General features: G+C 39.5%; 1 protein-coding gene across 10 annotated transcripts in view; it reads right to left on the bottom strand.

Annotated features, from left to right (window-relative positions):
* The window catches only part of COL12A1 (collagen type XII alpha 1 chain), a 121728-nt gene extending 97632 nt beyond the window's left edge, over positions 1–24096 (bottom strand). For 5 of the 10 annotated variants that reach the window (XM_011535435.2, NM_001424115.1, NM_001424114.1 and 2 more), the window contains exons 1-10: positions 23820–24096; positions 20763–20870; positions 12874–12990; positions 10255–10398; positions 9744–9803; positions 7595–7858; positions 7260–7424; positions 6405–6578; positions 1897–2187; positions 1093–1695 (exon numbers count right to left, since the gene is read on the bottom strand). In XM_011535435.2, the coding sequence (XP_011533737.1) occupies positions 1093–1695; positions 1897–2187; positions 6405–6578; positions 7260–7424; positions 7595–7858; positions 9744–9803; positions 10255–10398; positions 12874–12990; positions 20763–20835 (1891 nt within the window). In that variant the 5' untranslated portion in view covers positions 20836–20870; positions 23820–24096. Of the gene's footprint in view, positions 1–1092; positions 1696–1896; positions 2188–6404; positions 6579–7259; positions 7425–7594; positions 7859–9743; positions 9804–10254; positions 10399–12873; positions 12991–17235; positions 17868–20762; positions 20871–23055; positions 23383–23819 lie in introns of those variants that run through there. The other 5 variants (NM_001424116.1, NM_080645.3, XM_047418184.1 and 2 more) reach the window with 4 other exon arrangements.

The following is a 26770-nucleotide window of genomic DNA, read 5'->3' on the forward strand; positions in this document are numbered from 1 at the left end:
TGGTGGCACACTCCTGTAGTTCCAGCTACTGGGTAGGCTGGGGTGCGAGAATTGCTTGAACTGGGGAGGCAGATATTGCAGTGAGCATAGATTGCACCACTGCACTCCAGCCTGGGTGACAGAGTGAGACCCTGTCTCAAAAAAAAAAAAAAAAGAAAAAAAAACAGTACATAGGAAAGCCAACTGAGTGAAAGTGATAGCATGATAGTGCTAGGACAGTTACAGTTTAGGAAGGCTTAATGAAAAGGATGGGACTTTTTATTATTATAATACTTTGAGTTCTGGGGTACATGTGCAGAACGTGCAGTTTTGTTACATAGGTGTACATGTGCCATGGTGGTTTGCTGCATCCATCAACTCGTCATCTACATTAGGTATTTTTCCTAATGCCATCCCTCCCCCAGCCCCCCCACCTTCCTATAGGTCCCGGTGTGTGATGCCGCCACCCCTGTGTCCATGTGTTCTCATTATTCAACTCCCACATATGAGTGAGAACATGCAGTGTTTGGTTTTCTGTTCTTGTGTTAGTTTGCTGAGAATGATGGTTTCCAGCTTCATCCATGTCCCTGAAAAGGACACAAACTCAAGGGATGGGACTTTTAACTACACATTGAAAAGTAGATCAGACAAATGAGGAAAATTCCAGATGTGACAAATGATGCCCAAAATGATTCAGGAAAGGAAATGCATAAAAAGAATCCAAAGGTGCAAGACTATATTCTCTTCACCTTTGAGTTGAAGGACCCAGCTCAGTATCCAGCACATAGTGAACACCCCATACATGGGATTTGGATTGTAAATGACACATACATATGATAAAACTTGTTCCTAAACCTGCTTGACAATCTAGGAACAGAAACATCTCATGACTCTTGTAACTAAACAGCTTTTTCACCAACTAAAATATGATCCATATCCAGGAGAAAGTCATATCTCAGAGCTAAGAAAACTAAGTTCAATAGTTTTCAATAACATAGGAAAGTTACTTTTTCGTGTCTATAAGAAGAATTGAACAAGCATATTATCCACAATTTTAGAACCAAAAATTCTTTGTTCATGAAGAAATAACTTTTACTCTCAAAGTCTACTAACCTTTCTTCTTTATAGCTGCCAATTCTTGCTCAATTCTAAGGCAGATAGACTGTGTGAGTTCAAAAGATATCCTCTGAAAAGCATCAAAATCTTCCACTGTGAACACATGGGTCTCTGCAGGAGGAGAGGCAATAGCTTCCAATTCTGAGCGAACGGCATCCTTCACACCAACTGCAAAGATTTCAACATCTGAATTCCTCAGTTTTATCGCAGGATCTCTGAAAGCATCTGATGATTTCCCATCCGTGATAAGAATCATGACCTTTGGCACATTGCTTCTTGATCCCTTGCTAGGCACAAATATTTTCTCTCTGACATAAGTCATTGCTTTGCCAGTATTTGTAGATCCTCCTCTGTAAGGGAAGGTGTTTATTGCTTCAATTATATCTTCAACTTTGGTGAATTTTTTCAAAGTGAACTCAGTATGAGGATCCCGGCTGTATTGCACAAGACTAATCTGGACCCTATTTGGTGAAATTTCAAAACTTTTTACAAGAACTTCCAAAAAGGCTCTAACTTTAACAAAGTTTGCAATCCCAATGCTATAGGAGCCATCAACCAAAAACACAATATCGGCTTTTATATCCACACCACGTGAGCATTCTGTAAAGAGAAAAAAAGTACATTAAACTTCAATACATATTAATCATTAAAATATACATATCTAGCTTTCTTAGTAAGCGTGCTTCTTTAAAAAAAAAACTATTGCAAATATTTCATTCAAAACTAAGTCCAAACAAGTAAGGCATTCTGTCAAACAGATCTTCACATATTCCAAATACAATGATGCACACATTGACTTACCCACTTGAACTTTCATTGGCTGAGTCTTCTCCATTATTGAAATGGGTTCACTGGATGTCATTCCCTTCATGGCGGAAACACTGATCTGGTATTCTGTGTCTGCTGAGAGGTCGCGAACACTGAGCGTGGTTGTCTGAGGCCCCACACTCAGAGCGTGCTGTCGGCTTCCTGCAGTCATTGGTGTGAGGATGACTTTGTAGCCAGTCACTGGACTAGGAGATGGATTCCAATTTAGCTTAACATATTTTGAAGAGACTTCCATGGCAATCAAATTTGAAGGAGGCTCAACAACTAAAAAGTTACAAGCAGACAGTGATTAATAACAGTGAGATGTAACCTTACTAATTTGGTCTTTAGGTTTGGACCTTCAAATCTCCTTATTCAAATTCATCCTAAATACATTGAAAAGAGTTGCCCAATACCCGCCTCAGTCCCCAATTTCACATGTCCCTATCAAACCAAAAGTGGTTCAACACTTGGCTTTTAGTCAAATTGCTGAGAAGTTAATGGAATAAGAAAGTATTTGGAAGAAATTAATGTTGGGACACTTCATGCCTAATTCTTCTCTGAAACCAAGATTTCCATTCTGGTTTTGGTATTCACTCATTGTCTTCATTCTCAAGCACCAAAGTAGGCACTTGATAAATATTTGTTAAATCAATGCTTCATTCAATTCTTTAGGGAATTTTTCTCTCTTAATAACATCATAAAAGTGTAATCTTTAAAAGATACTTTATAATATGCCAAGAAAGAGAAAGCATTTAGTACTTCTTAAATGACAGGTTCTTATAATTTTAAACAATTTTATTTTCACTAGTTTCAGGGTAAGAAAAAAAGTTCAACTATGTTCACAGTGCCACCAAACAGAGGGGAAACAATGGCTTATAACATGCATATTAACGCATGCATATCAGTCCTCTAAAAAATGGTGATCCTTACTCAACATAGAACATAGTCATGTATTTGACAGTTAACGTAAAGTATTTTAAGATATTTCAGACAATATCAAAATTCTGGATTTGTCAATGGAATCAACTTCCCGGAAGATATAGTTATAATTTTTCACAAATCAACCTGCAGGAAGTGTGTGTAAAAACAGGCCCAAATTTACACATCGCCTCCTCAAAAAAGCAACCAGATGTAGGACATAAAAGTGATGTTTATACTGAATAGGCAAAAGCTGGAAGCATTTCACTTGAAAACCAGCACAAGATGAGGTTGCCCTCTCTCACCACTCCTATTCAACATAGTATTGGAAGTTCTGGCCAGAGCAATCAAGCAAGAAAAAGGAATAAAAAGCATCCAAATATGAAGAAAGGAAGTCAAACTATCCCTGTTTGCAGATGACATAATCCCTCTAGAAAACTGCAATGTCTCAGCCCAAAAGCTTCTTAAGCTGATAAACAACTTTAGCAAAGTCTCAGGATATAAAATCAATGTGCAAAAATTGCCAGCATTCCTATACACAACAACAGTCAAGCTGAGAGCTAAATCAGGAACGAAATCCCATTCACAATGGGAGTTGTGAATAATAGAATAAAATACCTAGGAATACAGCTAACTAGTTAGGTGAAAGATCTCTACAAGGAGAACTACAAACCACTGCTCAAAGAAATCAGAGATGACAATGGAAAAACATTTCATGCTCATAGATAGAAAGAATCAATATCATTAAAATGGCCATACTGCCAAAAGCAATCTATAGATTGGCCACTACTCCTATTAAACTACCATTGAGATTCTTCACAGAACTAGAAACACCTATTTTAAATTTCATATGGAACAAAAAAGAATCCGAATATCCAAGGCAATCCTAAGCAGAAAGAACAATGCTGGAGGTGCAGGCTATCTGACTTCAAATTATGCTACAGGGCTGTGGTAACCAAAACAGCATAGTACTGGTACAGAAACAGACACCTAGACCAATGTTACAGAATAGAGAATCCAGAAGTGAGACTGAACACCTACAACCATCTGATCTTCAACAAACCTGACAAAAACAAGCACTGGGGAAAGGACCCCCTATTCAATAAATGGTGCTCAGATAACTGGCTAGCCATACGCAAAAGACTGAATCTGGACTCCTTCCTTAGACCACAGACAAAAATTAACTCAAGATGGATTACAGACTTAAATGTAAGACCCAAAACTGTAAGAATCCTGGAAAACAACCTAGGCAATACCATTCAGGACATAGGCCCTGGCAAAGATTTCATGACAAAGATGCCAAAAGCAATTGCAACAAAAACAAAAATTGACAAATGGGATCTAATTAAATTAAAGAGTTTCTGCATGGCAAAAGAAACTACCAACAGAGTAAACAGACAACATACAAAATGGGAGAAAATTTTTGCAAACTATGCATCCAACAAAGGTCTAATATCCAGCATCTATAAGGAACATAAACAAATTTACAAGAAAACAACACACAACCCCATTTAAAAGTGGGCAAAGGACATAAACAGACACTTTTCAAAAGAAGACATCCATGTGGTCAACAATCATACAAAAAAAAGTTCAACATTACTGATTATTAGAGAAACACAAATCAAAACCACAATGAGACACCATCTCACACCAGTCAGAATGGCTATTATTAAAAAGTCAAAAAATAACAAATGCTGGTGAGGTAGTGGAGAAAAAGGAATGCTTATATACTGTTGCTGGGAGTGTAAATTAGTTCAACCATTGTGAAAGACAGTGCAGCAATTCCTCAAAGAACTAAGAACAGAAACACCATTTAACCCAGCAATCCCATTACTGGGTATATACCCAAGGAATATAAATCATCCTATTATAAAGATAAATGCACACGTATATTCACTACAGCACTATTCACAATATCAAACACTTGGAATTAACCTAAAACCCTATCAATGATAGACTGGATAAGGAAAATGTGGTACATATATACCATGGAATACTATACAGCCATGAAAAAGAACAAGATCATGTCCTTTGCAGGGACAATGATAGAGCTAGAGGCCATTATCCTTAGCAAACTAACACAGGAACAGAAAACCAAATACCACATGTTCTTGCTTATAAGTGGGGGCTAAATGATGAGAACATATGGAGACATAGAGGGAAACGACACACACACTGGGGCCTATTGGAGGGTTGAAGGTAGGAGGAGGGAGAGGATCAGGAAAAATAACTAATGGGTACTAGGCTTACTACCTGGGTGATGAAATGATCTGTACAACAAGCCCCCATGAAACAAGTTTATCTATGTAACAAACCTGTACATGTACCCCTGAACTTAAAAGTTTTAAAAAATGAAAATAATTTTAAAAATAAATAAATATATATATATATATATATTTAAAATGATGTTTAAGTAGAAAATAGTAGGAGGGAAGCCACAGAGATGCCACATGGAAATCTGGCCAAACCTGAGGGATACAGAGGCAGTACAGGCTAGTCCAGCAGAAGAGAGAAGCCTTAGATTAGTCCAGCAGAAGAGAGAAGACACTAAAGAGAAATGTGAACACCTGTGATGTAGCCCCAGCCCCCTACACAGGGAAAGTTCCAACAGTGGCAGAAAAAAAGTCTGGCCTACCCTTGCATACATGCAACTGCACCCCAGGAAGAATTAAACTGTTTAAAAGACTGAGTGAAGAGAAGTAATCAGAGAAAAGTGGAGGTGAGTGAGATGGATTTTATAATAATACAAAGCAAAAAGGTTAGACAGTAGACAGTAAAACAAAGGATAGATTGAGAGCCCATGAAGTAATGAGAGGTTCTGAGACAGAATTAGGGCCAATGAACATTTTGACAAAATGTTCAGAGATTGAAGATTAAAGAGTTTGTATGATTGAAGATGTCACTATTTAGAATTTATGTTTAATCACTTATCGATTCTCAAGCTGAGAGGAGAACAATGATGGAAAAATATAAAGGCTTTGGGTTGTTATTTTTAATGTTCAAAAGGATGCTTTTGAAATGTCTTTTCTTTCTCCCATGTATTTAGAAGTAATAACTAATAGAAATGGGAGAATTTTCTAAGGGGAGGATCACATTGACTGATCTTTGAAATATTCTTAAAAGCTTTCAAAACATTACTCAGAGTATAATGATAGAAAACCCTTGTCCTTAGCTAGTTAGCAGAAACATTGTTATTATTTTAAGTTGCAAATGTCTTTCCAGCCCATCAATGTTTAAATCAGAGTGCAAGGTAATTAAAGCAAGTAGCAGAATAGCATAATCAGATAGACATTCAATGTACACAAAAGAGTCTTAAAGAAAAGAGTAAATCATAACTTGTCCCCCACCAAAAAAATTTTAAGAACTGTGCAATGATACATTTTACTGAATGTTCCACTAGAAGGAAAAACAATACAAATGGTATCAACAAGTTGAGTTGCTAAAAAACAATACAGTGGAGTATACAATTGTAGAATCACTGGAAGAAATATTTAAATAAATATGTCTACTTCTAAGATAACTATAAATACTCAAACAATGGAAAAGACTAACACATGGGGAATGCTACACAGTCTACTCACCTTCTTCTCCACTAACCAATTCACCAAGTTGTTCATCAACACCTGAGCACACCTGGGAGATGATCTCATTCTGAATATCCACAATTGCATCAAAGTTGGCCACATTGAAAACATGGTTCAGTGAAGGTGTGGAGGCAATTTGTTTGAGTTCTTTTGCATCTGCAGCTTTAATGCCTTCAAAACAAAAGGATAAGGACATATTGAAATGGGAAATGTGCCAACTGACTTGGAGAAGTTCTTCGTTTTCTCCATCTTTCACAACTGAAGACATATTCAAATCGTCATTAAGTCATAAGCCAGAATTGCTTTGTTTCATAACAGTTGCACATGCAACTGTGCAGATGACAAAAACATTTTGTAATTTGACATATAGTGGTCAGCCAAAGAGGAAAAAAGTGGTTGGTTAAACAGAGTGGGCTTTCATCCCAACCATACCATCGTATGTCTTTGCCATCTGTAAAGATAATACTTTTTTCTTCCAGAGTCCTCAATAAGCTGGAGCCCTCTGAATTCTTCAAGTATTACATAATATAGGAAACACATAAAAAACACTTAATGATAATACAAGGAGGATCTTTATTAGAATCATTGGCCCAGCATTCTTTGAAAAGTAGAGAGCTGGCAAAGAATGTGAATACCACCTTCCTAAATACATATGCTAAGGGAGTTATATGAGGGAAATAGATAAGCAGAATTTTTACTTAAAGACAATTTAAGTCTTTAATATTACACTATAAAAATGCAGTAAACACTTCTAATAGCATCCTTCCTTGAGGAATCAATCTTTCATCTTCCTAAACATTAAGTATACTGTAGGAGTTGTAAAATGGAAATAATTAACTGAACTTAACCTACCCAAGGAGAAAACTTCAACTCCAACATTACGAAGCTCTCTTGCTGGAATTTCCACTTCATCCTGGGATTTTCCATCCGTAATAATAATTGCCACTTTAGGAAAGCCAACTCTTGCCCCAGCAGATTCCGTGAAAGTATTTTTAACTAAATAATCAATGGCATCCCCTAAAGGGAAAAGAAACATGTTCATTTACTCTGTACTACACAATTTTTCCAAAGTCAAAAACTATGTGAACAATGTCAAAAATATTTAATATGTAATAGGCAATGCATCATTTCTTTCTGAAACAGACATTTCATTTATTTTTAACTTTAAAAAAATCTGTAGAACATACCTGTCATTGTGTTGCCACCTTTATATGGAATTTTTTTTATTGCAGCAAGAAGTTCATCCCTTTGGTAGTACTGATTTAAGTTAAATTCAGTCCTGGTATCAGAGCTGTATTGAACAACTCCAACTCTTGTCTTCTCTTCCCCAATGTCAAAAGCAGACACAAGAGCAGCAATGAAGTCTAAAATGTACTTGAAATTATTTCTTCCCACACTCCAAGAGCCATCCACGAGGAAAACCAAATCAGTCCAGGCACTGACAGAGCATTCTGAAATACATTTGATATCTTTTTAAATGATGCTTTATTAAATCAACTCATCAATACATGTTAACATTGCAAAAATGTTGGCTCCTTAAATCATTCTGTTCATTAGAACATATTCACCAATTGTTCTTCACCCACATGCACAAAGAAATATACAATTTTACTAACAACACATAGAAGCATTTTCAATGCCTTTATCAAGATGAATTCATGGAACTAGATGTCTTTAAATTGCTTTATAAGACATTATACAAAAAGAGATAAATAGATCTATAATCTGCTCTCCGGGAGCATAAAGTCCAAGTATTCGTGCTATCAACCTATCCATTTTTATAAACTATACCCTCACTCTTCTTTACAAGTACAAATTTTATAAAACATTTAGGAGTCATACAAAAGAAATATAAGCAAAGGGTTTTTATTCCTTGGTATTTATCAACAAATAAATACAAAATAATTGCTGTACCATTCAAGGAAGTGCAGTTGAGTTGAAGACCTAATTTGTTAATATACTCTTGCACTTTTCAATATAATTGTCTAAAGTTTGCATTAGGGTTAGTCTAGAGGGCTAAGGGAGCCTGATAGAAGTAAAAACAAGCATAAAATTATGCAAAATAGCCAAAATATATAGTCCTAATTATCAATATATTTAAATTTGACAATTAAAACCTACTTTTAGTGAACAAAGAGGGTAAACAATTATTTTTATTCAAAAGTTAAAAATCCATGTGGTATCCTGAAATTATCAAAATACAATGATCAGCTTTTGTAACTGAATATGTTATCTTTCCTTCTCTCTATGGTGGAGGTCAGGTTGGTTTTATGAAAATCTGTATTTGTAATGCAATACCAAGTGAATTTTCTGATGATGATTTTGTTCTTGCAGTCAGCTGATAGGTAATAAAAGAAGTATTTGGCTAGGAAGAGAAGGAGAGGGTGCTGAAAAATTTTGCAAGCCAAATAAATACAAGTTGTATGCTTAAATAAGTTTTGCACACTATTTAATAGGTGAATTTAAGCCTATTAAAAAGTCAATACTTGGCATAATACCTCAATTTAAAATAAATAATAATTGTTGAAAATATTAGCATCTGAAATAATGATAAACAGTGATCTGGAGGGGATACTTCCAGATAAAGAGACCTTTGTGTTTATAATCTTTTTATTGTCATTCTGGGTCATAAATCCAAGTTTTACGAGATGACAAAATTAGAAGTCCAAGAAACCCCTTAAGGATCTATCCCCATAAGTCAGAAAAGCAATATAAGACAAAAGGAGGCTAATAACTGCAAGATCTAGACTAAATAAAATTGCTTTCATCTGATTACAAATGCACCAATTTATAAGAGGTGTGTTACAGAGACTCTCAAAAAGGTTACAACTACCATCAACTAAGGCCATGTAAATAACCTAGAGAAGAGCATAACATACACACAGACTTAGAAAAGTATTTTCATGGCAATTGTATTACTTTGAACACTAGCTGAGGGCATCCCTCTCATGTTCCAGCCCTGTATTTCTCATATATTCCTAAGTACCACCTACTGCTATCAGTTTGTCTTTGAGAAATGAGTTGAGTCCTGAGATGTGCTTTGTTTTCACCTATTGCCAAAATCCTGCAGGAAAGGTTGGACACACACAATTTCAAAACACTCCCATTGAAAAGAATATCTAGTAAATAGAATGAAAAACTAGCTAGAATGTCAGAACTTAGGTTATAATGACTTAGTTATACATTATTCTTATATTGTCTGTGCTCCTTCCAGATAAAGCTTATATAAATTAATATAGGAATAAGATCAATCTATGTATATAATTGGAACATCTGTTCTATCCTACATTTATGACTTCCATGAATCTAAGCAAAAATAGTAAGAGAAACACTCACTTTGTATCTCGGTTTTTCCAGGTTTCTTCTCCACTGGCTTTGTCGAACTACCTGTTTGAACTAAGTTAAAACTTTATTATTACAAAAGGAAATGAACCCAAGCAGATATTCTCTTTAAAATAGAATAAATATATTATATTAGTTTTTGTTATTGTCTCTTAAATGTATGGCTCTGCCCAGCTGGTCATAGAATACTGCCAAATAATCATTCCCTTACAAGTAAGTTATTTTAGTGATATTTTTGAGATATTTCAAAAAGATATTCACATTGTTGTCCAGCAAAGTTTAACATTTTTAATGGTCTTCATTCATAACATTCCTGCTGTTTCCAGAGACCAGAGTTATAAATCAGGAATGAATTATTCATGTCCACTAATAACTAGGATACCAGAAAAAAATAGTTAGTACTGCTGTAAATTAACTTTGTATCATAAAAGATTAAATCTGAAGTTGGAAAAACCTTCTGCAAAATAAAAATTATACAAATATTTTATTTTATATGTGTGCTTACTTGTTAGTTGTCCTATAACTGGTACACTTTCTTCTACTTCATCATATGAAGTTATTGTCACCACATACTCTGTTTCAGGTACAAGTTCTGACAATAAAGTTTCAGTGGTACTAGCTGAAAGGGTAAATTCTTTAGTAGGCCCATCTGGAAATATAAAAAGGAAAAATATGAATGCAACAAAACATTTTTCACATATAACACAATACATTGTAATTCCCAGAGGTACTCAAAATCTGAAAAATTCAGTATATACATTTTTTCAGGACACTCAAACATTATTTTTTACTGCCTTCCAAAACTAAAATTTTGAATTTTAGAAATTTAATAAATGGACTGGTATTGCTTTTATTTGTTACAATCATATTTAATACTTGTTTGAGAATTCAAGACATTTCTAGTTTAAAGGTATACCAGAATATCGAACTAAAAATCTTTCATTGGTTTTGGAGACTAATGGTAGATAACAGTTTTATAAATGAGAGATAAAGCAGAGAAAATGAATTTAATTTTAAATTATGCATTGGAGGAGAGCAGAGAGAGAGAAATAAGAGATGAAAATAAACTCAAAGAAAACAAACCCCATAGGTTAAGACCAACCCCTAGTGGGAAAAAATCTGTGTGGAAGCAGTGCATATTCCATACTCAAATGGCTACATGCCTTAATGGGTAACATTGACCTCTGCATTGACTTAAGCAGGTATCAAATATTTCAAGGTCCAGTATACTAGGTGTTTACTTATATTTTGGCAGTTATGTACTCCCTTCTAGATTCTGTTAATTCTCAATTCAATCAGGAAACCTGGTGGTTCCTGGGAATTACGTGCCTGATATTTTTAATTATATTGTTTTCATCAAAATATAAATAATTAGGAAAGATAACAGGTGCAACAGACCACTGAAAAATGCTCTTGGTTTGCAGGTAGAACATGCAAAACCAACCAAGATCCCCAGAGGACATCAAGACACTCAGACTCTGCCAGGTTGGGTAGCCCCAGTGCCAGTTTTGGAAGTGTTAGGTGTCAGTTATTCCCAACATCTAGAAACTGGATGGACCCTGTTAGAACTGATTTTCTGATTTGGAATGAATATGTTAACTGCAAATATATTTGGGGAGAAAAGATTGAAAGAGAAAAAAGTAAATTTTTTACCCCTTTTTAAGTTTTTAAATCATCTTTTTAAAAAAAGCTACGTTTCCTGGTAAATCAATATGTAAAATCATTGGTATTTTTAAAGGCTAAAAGATAAATAAACACAGTTCTAGTAATAAGTTGTGTTGACATCTTCCATCTCTACTGTCAGCCAGTCAAGACTTCTTCCTACCATTTAGCCAATGTTAGTGGAAGTAGTTATTTTCTTTCTTTGTTTTTTTTACTATTTTTTAAATTATACTTTAAGTTCTAGAGTACGTGTGCACAACGTGCAGGTTTGTTACGTATGTATACATGTGCCATGTTGGTGTGCTGCACCCATTAACTCTTTACATTAGGTATATCTCCTAATGCTATCCCTCCCCCCTCCCCACACCCCATGACAGGCCCCAGTGTGTGATGTTCCCCTTCCTGTGTCCAAGTGTTCTCATTGTTCAATTCCCACCTATGAGTGAGAACATGCGGTGTTTGGTTTTTTGTCTTTGCAACAGTTTGCTAAGAATGATGGTTTCCAGCTTCATCCATGTCCCTATAAATGACATGAACTCATCCTTTTTTATGGCTGCATAGTATTCCATGGCATATATGTGCCACATTTTCTTAATCCAGTCTATCATCGATGGACATTTGGGTTGGTTCCAAGTCTTTGCTATTGTGAATAAGTGCCACAATGAACATACGTGTGCATGTGTCTTTATAGCAGCATGATTTATAATCCTTTGGGTATATACCCAGAAATGGGATGGCTGGGTCAAATGATATTTCTAGTTCTAGATCCTTAAGGAATCGCCACACTGTCTTCCACAATGGTTGAACTAGTTTACAGTCAGTGGAAATGGTTATTTTCTCATTCCATTTTAGAACTAAAAATTAATCAATAGAGTTTGGTTCTCCACATTTTGGCAACATTATTAACACTAAAGATAATGCCTGAGAACAAGCAAAACAAGTTTTGTTTAGTTTTCCAAGGATTCAGCCTAGTGTCGATGGAATCCACCTAGCCAAAGTAAATTCTTATCTGTCATCATGGTTGTTTACCATTATCACAGAATGGTGTTTCCTGGATACTGAAATGTGTAGGACACTGGGTAAGGTGTAACAACTTACTTCATCAGCTGATACTTTAAATGTTGAAAATATTAAGTAATTCAAGAAGAATGCCAAAGAATGAGGATTTGATTCTATAAGATCAAAGGTTACTAACAATATTCTGATCAGGTAAAAATAGAGTCAATTTTTAATAATAACAACCTACCACAGCAAAACATGTTAAACTCAATAACATTAAAATATAATAGTGGACACTAGACTGGAAATCTGAAACCTGAGTTCAGCAAATGTCTGGTGACATGGATCAAATCCCTCAGGCTTCCTAAAGCACAGCTTCTTCATGATGAAAGGGGAGAAGAGGTGGAGATTGAGTTATATCATCATGATGCTTCTGTCCTAAAACCCCAGTCTCAAAACTTACCCGTTGTAGGGTCCACCGTTATTCTGTAACCCACAATTGGATCAACTGGTTTTGCCCATGACATATGAACAGTATTTTCATCTATAATTTTAAAATTCAAGTCTGAAGGTGGGTCAACTGCAAAAGAGAGAGTTTATATTATTAAACTTTTCAATGTCACAAAATGGTCAATTTAATTAATAAAGAATTGTGTTGAGCAAAGCTTTCTAAAATTGTCTTTGCATAAATTTGTTTCCAACAAATATAAAAGATATGTTGTTGGATAAGAATAAAACTAAAAGCTGACAAAACATCAGAGAGTGTACATATTACAGAAGACAGCACAAAACACTTTTGATTCTTGAGTTGCTAGGTCATTCAAGAATGGCCAGCAAAATCAAGCATAATAGAAACATATTTGGATACAAGTACATACAAGTACAATGAAATCACATATAATAACCACATATGCAAACAATTCACATAACAATTAAAGGAATTTCGATACATGCTGAGTGCATTTTGAACAAGCATGCCAAATCACAACCTGCTTACAACCAGAGAAGTTAATTCAAAACATTGACATAATATGTTTTTTCCCACAATATGGACAAGAAACAATGATGGTTTTGGTTCATTCTCTGCATTATTTGCCTTGTAATTATTCATTGTTATTTGATAAATCTCAATATGTAGCAGAGATGAAAAATATATTTTAATGAAAATAAGGAATCATGGGAAAGTTATATCTGACAAGGAAATATACATTTAAATGTATATTCATATTCATAGGCAAGTATTCAAAAATAAGTGATGTTAATTTATAAATATATAAATAGCGATATTCAAAAGTTTATTAAACTAATATTCTGCCTGTTTACACCAGCTTGCTGAATGTTCCAGGGTGTAAACCAACACTATTATTTCCTTTGCAGCAGGTATACTCCATACTAGAAAGGGCATTTTAGATTAAAATGCCAGTATGGTCCTTTACAAAACAATGGTTAATTATGAAAAGACAACATCAATGTATATTTATGGACATTTATTTACAGAACTTAAAGAAAACAGTGAAGAAGGATCAGTGATCTGAAGACATGACTGCGCATAAAAACTTGGAAAAGTCAATGACAGGAATAACTGAAAAGTACAGAAATAGTTTACATACAAAACTGTAGAGCATCATGCATGTGTCAATGAAATGTTGACTTGTTTTTAGTTTCCCACAATGAACAAAAGCCTCCATGTACAGTAGTCATTACACAAAGACGTTTCCTAAATATTTTATAATGATATTCTCTCTACAATGTTCATGCCTCATCATGCAGCATTGTACTGACTCACTGTCAGTGCATGGTTGATGAATTAAAAATTATTACTCTTGAAACAGGTCAACAAATTAAGATGACTTTCAGCCACACTCTTCTTAAAATGTTTTAGTCTGAAAGTATTCCTTGTGAGTCAGAATTTTTGCATCTGTTTTGAGAGATTACAATTTCCTTTCAGGTTTTTTCAAAGGTCAATTAAAATACACTAGCAGCTTTGAGACATGAGTCACAGAATTTAACTGGGGTTAAAGATTTATGTAATATTAATAATATGTTTTAATGGAAATAATTAAGCAAACATTTGCTTTAGTGGACTGCTGCGTCCAACTGTAGGAGATGGCTTTTTATTTTTATTGGATACACTAGTATTGGAATGAATGTTATATTCTTACTATCCATACACAGGCAGTGAGATTAGACTATTAATCTACATGCATAGTTTAATTACTCAACATTCTTCAGTCTTTAATCATATTTTGAGGTTTAGCTGTACTCATCACTCAGTATAACATGCATGCAACAGATGTTAATAGGACAACGGGTATTAAGAATATCATTATAAAATATTGTTCCAGTAGCAATGGCTCAGGACAAATTTAATGCAAAGGCAGACACACTGGCCTGAGCATGCTTTTAAAAAAAATCAGTACATGGAAAAACAGTACCACCAACCTTGGAAGGAAAATGACCTGAAGCAGCGGACATTAGGTTAAAACTGCTGAAGGGCAGTAGCAGCCCCCCTTGTTGATATCCAAATGACCAGGATTCCAGATAAACTGAAAAATTGACTGTGGGGAAAAGTCTTTAACATTTCAGAGGATCTTGAGGTGTTCATAGAAACTGTGATATGTGAGAATCAAAGTAGAAAAGAATGGCCAACCCGCATGGGTACAACAGAGAGCCCGCTTCACTTTTCTTCTGGCCGATTTTATTGCATGTACAGCTTTTCAGGCATGCCATTCTATTTGTACATTTGTTTGTTTCATGAAAAAATAATAATAAAGCAGATGTAAGTGTATGACCCGTGTCAACATAAATCAGTGCTGAAAAATGTACTTTATTAATTTTAAAAATATTTTCTTTTACATAAAAATAATTCATAAACACCATCACATCATCACAGAGTCTAAGTGTTCCCTAAGACAATGCTGATGCTGGAAATTTTCTTTTCTTTTCTTTTTTTTTTTTTTTTGAGACGGAGTTTCGCTCTTGTTGCCCAGGCTGGAGTGCAGTGGTACGAACTTGGCTCACTGCAACCTCAGCCTCCTAGGTTCAAGCGATTCTCCTGCCTCAGCCTCCTGAGTAGCAAGGATTACAGGCGTGCTCCACCATGCCTGGCTAATTTTGTATTTTTAGTAGAGACGGGGTTTCTCCATGTTGGTCAGGCTGCTCTTGAAGTCCTGACCTCAGGTGATCCGCCCTCCTCAGCCTCCCACAGTGCTGGGATTGTAGGAATAAGCCACTGTGCCCAGCCCGGAAATTTTCAATTATGCACTAGCTGCATATTGATTATAACTGCAAAGAGCCATAGTTGCATAGGATGAGAATCCAAACCAAGAGAAACAGAATGAAAATTACAAATAAATAACAATCTTACATATATTCAAAAAACCTGAATACTGACAGTAAAGAGACTAAAATTTTAAGTATTTTTATTCTTATAGTTTAATTTCATATTTACAGATAATGTTTTTTGTTATCAAAACGCTATGCTACGAAGACTCATTCTGATGAAATTTTTGTTACATAAACTGGCAGGATTTAGGACATTTTGGGAATGATAATAATAGCTGAAACTTGCTGAGTGTTCTCTATAACAGGCAGAGAGCTGGTTACTGTGTTGCTGCTTTTTTCCTTATAAGAACCCAATGATGGGCCTTATTATCCCTGCTTTACAGATAAATCAGTGAAATTCAGAGAGATTAACACAGCCAATAGGCAACAACACTTGGATTACATGGTCTGACTACAAAACATACAGTTTTCTACTGTACTAGATTAAATGCAAAGTAGAAGAAATATTTCCATCAAAAATTAACTTTAGAAAACAATATTTATATGTAGTTACTTTTAACCCATTTATACCTGAGGTTGCAATTTTTTGAATTTTTGTAATCAGACCTTGGCAATGACCTTGAGCAGTAGGATATAAATCACTCCCACATGCTTAGCATTCCAATAGTGGAACACTAGGCATAAATGGGTTTAATATATACGTATTTTTAATATATACCTATATTTGTAAATATAAGCAATATTTATATGTAGCTGATTTATATATACATACATGTATAATTATATGTGCATATATTATACATATTACATATGTATTACATATGTAATATTGTTATTACATATTACATATTATTATACATATATACATAAATATGTGGTATTCAGGTATCTCCAATTCAGATATAGATGAAATTTGGTATATTAACTTTATACACTTGTTCAAGCATTTAAAACTAAAGTGTCCATCTTGATATATAACTTTTTGAAACATTTTTAATAGGGCACCCAAAAAGGGGCTATGTCCAAGAAATTACCGGCCACTGCAGAGATGAATGAAGGGAAGGATGGATAGACAGGTGGGAAAATGGATGAGAGGGAGTAGAGGAGTCTAATAAGTTTTGGTAAGTATACATAATGCGCTATAGATATATCAAAACTAAGAATACACTACTAAAATATCTTGATGAACTACTAAGATCTTTAGTTTGATATCTGTGATAACAACACTGGAAAGGATACTACCTTAATAGGAGAAATCTTGACAAGTGTGCAATAAGTGATGAGTTAACTATATTCTATAGGCATTAATTTACATTTGCCATGCAAAATTAGCATAACTTTAATTATCTTTGCCATGATATAGAAATCCATTTCATTTGAGTTTTCAAGGTACCATAAATAATCAGTTGAAAAAATAATATTTTAGAATAAGCTACAGATTATTTTGTACACATTACAAAACATGCCCTCTCATTAAACTTTCCGGATCAACCAGTTGTCAAGCACAAACAAAGCACAGTGTGACCAAACCAGCACTAACCTAGGACTAGAAGACTGGGGTCTTGTCTGTTTTTCATATCTAAGTAAGTGCATTAGTTGACCAAGTGATTCAGCCTCTCTGGGCCTCATTTTCTCATTTGGAAAACGAGAGAAGTAGAATAGATGATCTCTATGTTAGCCTCTAGTTTGAAATTTCTGTTATAACACAAATTAGACATAGGATTATAAAAATATATACAAATTAGTCTCAACCTAGACACAAGACAAAGCTATAGCCACAACTCACCGATGAATTGATAATATTCAATTGTTCATTATATATTATAAACTATAAATCAGACTAACCAAAATTAACACTCTGTTTTTCAGAAAACTTGTATTCATCTCTAATCCTAGATTAATTAGAAAAGTGCCCAGTTCTCAGGGAATACTGACCATTAATCTTTATATGCAAAGTGTTAAGTTTTCTACAGGATAATTAACATACTGTATCATACATGAACCAAAAATAATTCATACATTCTAGGCCACTCAGATACAGTTGATAAAGTCTATGCAGTGATGCGGTTGATAAAGTCTCTGCAGTGGCTAAAAATTATAGATACTGAAGTGAAAAAATCATTTCCACTCTTATTTCTATAGGACAAGATAACATAGTATGAAAAATATAGCTCCTAATACAAATAAGCAGAAGAAAAACAAGACAAAAATATTACCACTATAAAAAAGAAGAAAGGCAAAAAGTGAATACCAAAACATTTTAATGTTTTCAAAAAGGTATTGGGTTTTTAATATATAAAACATTAAGGTCATAGAAAATGGTAATAAAATAGTATGAATATAAGAGTGCAAGTGTGAGTCATGAAAGGAAAAGAAACGTAACTGTGGCTACTTTAGGACTCAGATCAAAATGGCATGGTACCAAATGGAGTCCCAAGTTGAAATTTTGAAATGCCCCCAACAGAAATATTTCAAAGAAATTCTGGTTCCAGCCCAGTGACCCCAGAAAGGCTTTGGCCCCAAATTTTGTTAGCCCTTCAAAGGCCCCTAGCACCACTTAGTAGTCAACAGCAGAGCTGTGCTGTCCGACACGGAAGCAACCAGACATCTGTGGCTAGCAAGCTCTTAAAATGTGGCCAGTACGAAATAAACTGTGCTGCCTGTAATCCCAGCACTTTGGGAGGCCGAGGCAGGTGAATCAATTGAGGCCAGGGGTTCGAGACCAGCCTGGCCAACATGGTGAAACCCCGTCTCTACTAAAAATACAAAAATTAGCCAGGCATGGTGGCAAACCCCTGTAGTACCAGCTACTCAGGAGGTTAAGGCATGGGAATCACTTGAACCCAGGAGGCGGAGGCTGCAGTGAGCCGAGATCAAGCCACTACACTCCAGCCTGGGCAACAGAGCGAGACTCTGTCTCAGGAAAAATAAAAATAACTTAAAGAATAAATTGCACTGTAAGTATAAAATACACACCCAATTGTCAAAGACTTAGTACAAAAAAAGTCAAGTATCTCACTAATAATTTTCATATTGGCTCCATGATGAAATAATTTAGGTTAAATAAAATACATTATAAAATTTAATTTATCCTGTTTCTTTTTCCATTTTGAATATGGCTACCAGAAAAAAATGTAGGTTACATATGTGGCTTACATTTGTGGCTCATACCATATTTCTATTTGACAATGCCAAACTAGAGAATAAGGCCAAAAAATGAATCCTATTAAAATATAATTATTAAATACTAACTTAAGGAGATGGGATACAAGAAAAGACACAGATTAAGAAGCAAAAAAAAAAAGAGCTGTACCATATGGAAATAAATACAAATTTAAAAGATAAAATATAATATGGGAATAATCAGAAATGTAGATAGTAAGCTGTTCTTTCTAACTGCACTTTGCTAACCAGCCAATATCTAATTCAGAATCAATTTTTTCCACTTACATCATTTCCAGCCTAACTCTTTTTCTAAGAATTCTCAACTCTTTCTGATTTTCAAATAACTATTTTCTTAATGAGCAATAAATGGGCCACTTCAGTGAATTATCTAAAAATATCTGTAGTAGGGCCTCCAGAAGTTCCTCAAATAAAATTCCTTCCTAACAACGACATAGAAAGGAACATTAAAAGCAACTTCATCTGACTATTACTTCACAGAGGCCACTCTGAAAAGCCTCTACATTCATAAAATATTCATCAGCTAAGAAAAGTCAGCAAGTTTCTGTCACTTTTCTTAACATGCCATACATTTTGGAAACACTCTGCTTCCCCTAATTTTTTTTTTACCTGTAGTCTTGAAGTAGAAAATCCAACACTATAGAAACCTTGAAAACCTTGGCATAATCATGCAAACAACCATACTTTCTCACAGCCTCTAAAAAAGCACACCTCAACCCAGAACTTCCACAGCTGTCACTTGGCAGAAGTGTTTTTTTTCCTCCCTTAACTTCATCAGGGGTATTTCTTTACTGAAAAAAAAAAAAGATATCTTTCATGACATTACCCCATTTTCTTTGCAGAATAAGAAAACTAATTTGTCAGGTCTCCAGTGACAACTGAGGGGCCACAGAAGCCGCCATGGGGTTGACATATTGAAATGGCTTGTTTAATGAACACTGAGAAATTAAGACATCAAGTGCACACAACAAATAAAATTGGGTGGGACATCTAACAAAAGCCCTCCATTTTCTAGAGGAGGGGCCACACGGCGCCGTTTTGGAAACCCATCTCGGAGCGCCCCACTGCCTCCGCGGGAAGGTCCGACGCACCCGGCTGTCCCTGAGGGAGGCAGGATGGAGCAAGGGCAGGACACTGGAGGTGGTGCCCAGCAACTCCGGCGCGCGCTTGCTTCCCAGGCTGGAAACCTTGGCCCAGGCTCAACCTGTCTGAGCTGGACCAGTCCAGGCCACGCGCCTTGGAGCCCTGCTAACCAACAGGGACAGCCGCGACCCTAGGTCGTGCGAACACCTGGGGTCCCGGATCTCCGCTTGCCTGCCATCATCCCCCAGGCTGCTTGGCTGCTGGCTCATCTGCCCGCACCGTCCGCCCCGCCGACTGAGCTCCCCACAAAGCACACAGAGGCGCAGAGCCAGCGCTGTTGGAGTCTTTTATTGTGTTCTGTCACCGAGGTCGCAGCCCCGAGCCAGGTGGTTGGTTACCAGCCAAGCGAGCGAGTGCGCCCGCTCTTCGGGGCTCCTGGGTGCCACCCGGAGGTGTCCTGTTGGTTGCGCTGATTAGAGCCGTCGCCCCCTCTCGGGCGGCTGGTCCTCTTATTAGGCGGCAGTGCAGGTGGCAGTGTGGACAGCACACCGCAGAGACAAGCTCAAGAAGACCACACAGCACTGTACGGAATGCATTAAGCAGAATACGAAAGAGCTGGACCTGAGAGCTGGGAAATGGACAAACCTCAGGAGAAAGGGGCGTTTCTCTGAAGGAGAGAAACCACCGGAGAAAGCACGAAGCGCAGGGAAAACAGAGCAAGCAATAGAAGCAAGAAAGATGTGTTTTTTCCTTTCTCGAATTTTGCATTGTCACTCGGTGAAGGGGAAGGGAGCCTTTTACCTTCTGCCTCAATGGAAGACAGGAGCAGGGCCGCGCCCAGGGCGGCAAGCGCTGGGGGAAGCCTACTCCGCATCCTTGGCCTCCGAGCTTACAGCGGCATGAAGAGATCTGCGGGAGGAAGTAGTGACTGCATCAGAACTGGGTCTGGGCAGGCCTTGAACCAGGTTAGAACTGGAGCCTGGACCTAGTCCAGAACCCGACCAGATCTGCCTTAAAAACCACAGGGCCTACTCCAGCACATAATGGGCCTATTGTGAAGCAGTGGAAGTCAAGTTCGTCTACAGAAGTTTAATCATGGCCCTAGGAGGAAGTTCAAGTTTAAAAAGGGTCCTGTTCTCCTGGAGACTGGTCCTGCTTAGCATCCCGGGTGAAGGCCTTTACCAGCCCTCACATGACTTCATCCTGCCTGGGTAATGGCTAATTCAGAGGTCATTTTATCCCTCACTCAACTAAATATCTCTTCCAGCTGGGGATTTTATTTGACTGCTTTTTTCCTAGCTGATGAACTCTTTAGGTAACTGTACTTTAGTGGTCTCAGGGTAATTTGGAAAAGTATAATAAACCTTTTTAATTCTCTTTTTTCTTCATTTTGTTCTGCTTTCAAATATGCAGCTCTTTAAGATCTGAAATGGATTATACAGAAATATGTAAGGCCCAGCTGAAACCTGACCCTCCTGCTAACTGTGTTGTTTTCACATCTGATAAATCCTTTACCTGAGATGAGGGAAAAACAACTCCAAAATACATAATAACAAATAAGGCAGCAAAATGGAAGAAGCAAGACACCCTTGTCTGTTTTTCCAACGTGTTTTTAAATAAAAATTATCAATAATAATCTTTGTATTTAACTGTTTATTTAAGCTGGAAGATTATTAGTATACATACCCCAGAGGAGAATATGTTCTGTTCCGATTTTTTCTAATTTTGTAATTACATTATGAATTCCTTAAAGACAAAGAATCTTATTCATCTTTGTGGTTTCCCAGCACACAGTAGGTACTTAACCCATGTCTACAGAATGGAATCTCCTAAAATAGTCTAGGGTTCAACCCAAAGACAAAAGCTACTAGCAAGGAACTGAACTGGGAAGTTGCCAGTGGCAAAACATAAAAAGAGTTGACTCTGAAGTACATAATTTATTGTAAGCCAACAGCCTAGGCCTCAGGAAAAATGGAGGGGGATAGGAGACTGTCCTGCGTCGGAATGCAAAAATGAGCCAAAGGTCGAGGCCTCTTTGAGAAAAGAAACTGACAATCTCCAACGATGACTTTCCAAATTATTGGCACAAAGCATGAGGGCAGCTTTCCTCAGCCTGTGTGTAAATTGCATTTTAAATGTCTGATGAGCAGGCGTGCCAAATTGCCTGGAGCTCCTTTTTATGAAGCCAAGATTAAAATTTTGGCACTGCCCTAAGTATCTAAGGGGTCTAGCAATTTCTTTCTTCCTAATTAACAACTGTTTGACATTTCTAACCCTCTTCTACATCAGTGAAAAGCAAGAGGTGAGACTGGCCCATTGTTCCAATCATCTTGCCTTAACTTTGGTATAATAATTTCCAACTCAGTTGGCAGTCGTGCTCGCGAGAAGTTAAAGGCGAACAATCGACCCACCGAAAAGCTGTGCGCAGATTTTTTTTTAACAGCTGAACTCAACGAAAACCTGAGTGGTAACACTTTTGCTGGGTCTCGATCGCCACCTGTCGCTTTCCCGACTTAGCTGCAAGAATGAATCATCTCGCGCCGGGATATCGGAACGCCAGCCAGCCAAGCATCCCGTCAATATATGTTTTAAAAAAGAAAATGCTTTCTCTCCTTTTTAGCCAAAACATTCATTTGAATGCTTAGCAACACTTCATTGAGCATTCTCAGACATAAATATCTGAAAGCGGCCGCCCCTACGTGGCAGCGAGGACTCCCTCACTTCACCCTCATGAATAAAAATGAGTCCACTGGGGTGGGAGTGGGGGCTAAGTGGACTCGTCCCCTTCTGCCAACTCGCCCCCTCCCAATTCCCTGCTGGAAGAACCCAATTCCTTAACTCCCGCGTCCAGTTAAAAAGAAAATCACACACACACACACACACCGCGTGCGCGTCGCCTACCTCCTCTCCCACCCACCACGACCTTGGCATTAGCCAAAGGAGAGCTTAGCGTTTATTTCCTTTCCTGCCCTATCCTTCCCCAGCATTCACTAGAAGACTACAGAGTCCGGATCGAGAGTCTCCCTGGCCCAGAGTCCCAGGGAGCCCTGAACTGGTCACTGAAGGGCTCCCGAGGTCGCCCGCTTGGGGGTACCTGTTCCGCTCGCTGAACGAGTCCGGCGACCCACGCTTTCTGATCCCCACAAGTCTAGGATCTGAGTGGGAAACCGCCGCGGAGATCTCACAGACCCCGAATAGGGCCTCCACCAATGCACCGGGAGGGAGTCGGAGAGGGGACTTTCTCCCGGAGCTGGGAAAAGTCCGCCAAGAATGAGTACCCTAGTGCTGCCTAACCCACCATCTCGGATGCTCTGAAAGGTAGGGGAGGAAGGAGCCAGAACACTCCACTAGGAATCTGTTACGAGATGCCACACACACCCGTGCAGCCTCGACGAGCTGCAGAGCACTCAGCGGGCCCTCCAAAGAATTCCGCACCGTGCGTCACCAAAATACCTTCCCAGCGCCCCCGCCGCACGCCTGCCCTCCCCGACAAAGCCACAGCCGCGAGATAACCAGGGCCCTGCTGCCCCAGAACCCGGCGCGCCCTCCATTGAAATCGACAGCATCTACAGATGAAACTCCTCTAGAAACGGAAACACTGAACGGGATGCTTTGCGTGCACAAAACCTTGCTCAGCTCTTAAGAAAAGCAACATTCCCCTCTCCCTCAAAAACCCCAAAGAATCACCAAATCCCAGTATACAAGGCAACGCTCTAGCCCACCTACACTATTACAAGTCCAAACTGTCCTCGCCCAGGATTCTTCACCGCTCCGGGCAAGGTGCAAGCTAGACGCCGTTTCCCGAGTTGTCTCTGGGAATGATGGGGGTAGGGGAAAGGGGACAGAAACCAGGCTGACCTGAGGCGGCGGCAACAGGGAGAGGTAGCGGCGGCGACAGCGGCTTCCCGGCGTCGGAGAAGCTGGTGCTCGGTGTGGCCCCCACACGCCCCGGCGATAGGCGCTGCACTCCAGGAGCACCTGGCGGCCGCCGAGGCGTGGGCAGCTGCGGGGAAGTCCAGGAGGAGGAGGAGAATCCCAGGAGGAGAGGCGGGCGCGGCAGGAAGACTGGAGATGGCCTGAGCCTGCAGCTGCCGGCGCGCGGACGCGTCTGGGGCGGTTCGCCTTAGCCAAGTGGAAAGAGACTCCGCGCCGCGGGCTACTTAATAGAGGGCTGTTCCCAGCTCTCAGTTTACTCGGTTACGAAACGCCTGAGAAGGTGGACGGCTGCCACGGGGTGATGTATGCTCCTCCGGCGGTGAAGGAGGTCTACTTTTGGGAACGTGTGCATACTTCGAGCATTCCTTCGGCGTGAGGTGGCGATCGCCGTAGTAGCAGTGCCCCGCTGGGGGGCGGGGAGAAGGGAGGGAGCGTAGAGGGGGACAGCCGCAGCCGGGTTCCCTGCCAAGGGAAGCCGCGTACTCCGCCACTTGGGGCGGACTGGGATTTCTTTAATGAAGCTCGGGTTTCCCTATCCCTGAGATTTCTTTAATGAATTTTTCTACATTAAGAACAATGGGGAGGGGACCGACTCCCATTTTCGGAAATGCAAGGATGCGTAACCCATTCACCCCCGCTCCTGCGGATCTCCATCCTTCATCTGATATCACCACCTCCATCTTCCTCCCCCTCTGTCCTGGGTGCACTTAAAACCGATTTACAGGATTTCCATTAACTAACTGTCTGTACACGCGGCGCGCCTTCTGTCTTTTTCAATCTCCAAGCGCGATTGGAAACCCGGACAGCCGCCCGCGCGGGGCTCAGTGATGGGATGGCTTTCCCAGTCCTTTCTCACTCCCCTGGTGCTTCAGGACGGAACTGGGAGGCTTAAGTTGAGCCAAAAGAGAGGGAGAGGAAACCTATGAAACCCAGGAGTTCTCAGAATAGGAAGCCGCTCAGTAACAAGTTGCATCCACTGCAGAAACTTCTCACCCGGACCAGAGCAAAACCTGGCCCCGAGCGGAGGCTTCGGACTGAAAGCTCTGCCCTTAAAACCTCGCGGAGCCAAAGGGGCGAAGAGGAGTAAGTTTGAAACCCCAAAGCACCCCTCCACACACAGTACTGGAGAAGCCAAATAGGGGGCTGATATTCTACCAACAACGTCGCCTCTTCTTACAGCCCCCTCCATCCTGGCATCCTACCCCTTGTTCCTGGGCAGGGAGTCTGGTACTCAGGGTTGCCAGATTGTACAAGGCGCACGGGAGGAAGCTTCGAGCGCTCACACCAAGAAATCAGAAAAATGCTACTGGAGAGATTCTGATTATAACGTCTGACCTCAGTATAGGCCCTGCACCGTTTTGGCCTCTTGAAGCCCAAAGGTTACTCCTGTAACGCTGGGGGAGCGTTGAACAACAAAGGACCGGGGTGGGGCGCAAGGGAACAGAGGAGCTGCTTCTCTGGAACTAACCGCCCGCCATAGTAGAATCGGAGGGCATGTTCCCAATGTAAATCTCTCTTCCCCATTGGCTCTGACGTCTGCAAATTTGGCCTTCCCTCTCCACTAGGCGTGATAGCCTCCAAACTTGCCTTTCGACTGACAAGAACTTGTAGGGCGCTCCCCTTTCTGCACATCTCCCCACACACAGGCTGCCTCCAGCAGAAGCCGGCGAAAGCAAGAGAGAAGACAAGAGGGAGACAATGAAGACAAATAGGAATCGCCGCCTCTGCACATTCCCCAACCACACAGCCCACTCGAAGTCCAGCTGGGCAGCTCGCACAAAGAGCCTACACAGTACACAAGATTTTCCCCCTTCAAATCCTCACAACCAGAGTGTCTGACAAACCCCTAGTGAGTGAGCGCGTCCCAGGGATGAAACACCCGACCTTCTCAACGTTGCGCCCAATCAGGCTTGCAACCACATTGCCCTGGTATCACTGAGCCCCGAATTTGTCGACAGCTGGCGTCTGCACCCAAGCTAACCCTTCACTCGCCTCCCCACCCAACACACAAAGAGCAGGGAGCCCAGTCCAACCAGGCTTGCAGACCGCGCGTGGACTGGTGGCAGCCTCAAAGACCGAGCCCGAGAACAGAGAAGTCCCTCAGGCCGCCAAGCGGGCACCCAGTAGGGCTGCGCCCTTGGCCTGCTCCGCTGCCTGAAACGGCCAGGGAAGCCCCCGGACAACGACACCCCGTCCAGAAAGGGAAAAGGAAAACTGCTACTTTGCACGCCAGCCCAAGCTGGCTGGTGTTTGTATTTCGGCCCAGATGTTCTCTCTCTCTCTCTCTCTCTCTCTCTCTCTCTCTCTCTCTCTCTGTGTGTGTGTGTGTGTGTGTGTGTGTGTGTGTGTGTGTGTGTGTGTGTGTGTGTGTGTGATGGCGGAGTTGTTGACTGAGGAGCATGTAACACTGAATGTTGATTTGTTGTTGTTGTTTAAAAGAGAGAACTCTTGTTGATTTGGCTCCGAGCTGCCAATGCATCTATCAACCCCGGAGTTGAGCAGTCACCCTCCGGGGATCCAAAGACAGTCACGGGCTTCCCTTTCCTGCGGCTGGAGGCCGCAGACTGGGTGGAAGAGGCATCTGTCCCCAAGGGCGTGCACATTGCCCTCTCCAGCCAAGAGCAGCGTGCTGGGGACCCTCGTGGGCATCTTCTCTTGCTGAGGCATTCTTGTTCACATACTTAGATTTAACGTATCTGAAAATAGTTGCTGCAAAGGAGTGTAGGTAACACAAACCACCACCTGCAAACTTCCTTTCTAGCTCAACAAAAAGGATCCTTAGGCAAAACTTCCAGAGTAGGATGAGAGGAACAGGAAGGAGAGGACTCCCGGGTTGGGGACTACACAGACTCCTCCAGAAACTAATTCAAGTA

The sequence above is a fragment of the Homo sapiens genome, chromosome 6 (assembly GCF_000001405.40).
Source record: "Homo sapiens chromosome 6, GRCh38.p14 Primary Assembly".
Classification (NCBI taxonomy): domain Eukaryota; kingdom Metazoa; phylum Chordata; class Mammalia; order Primates; family Hominidae; genus Homo; species Homo sapiens.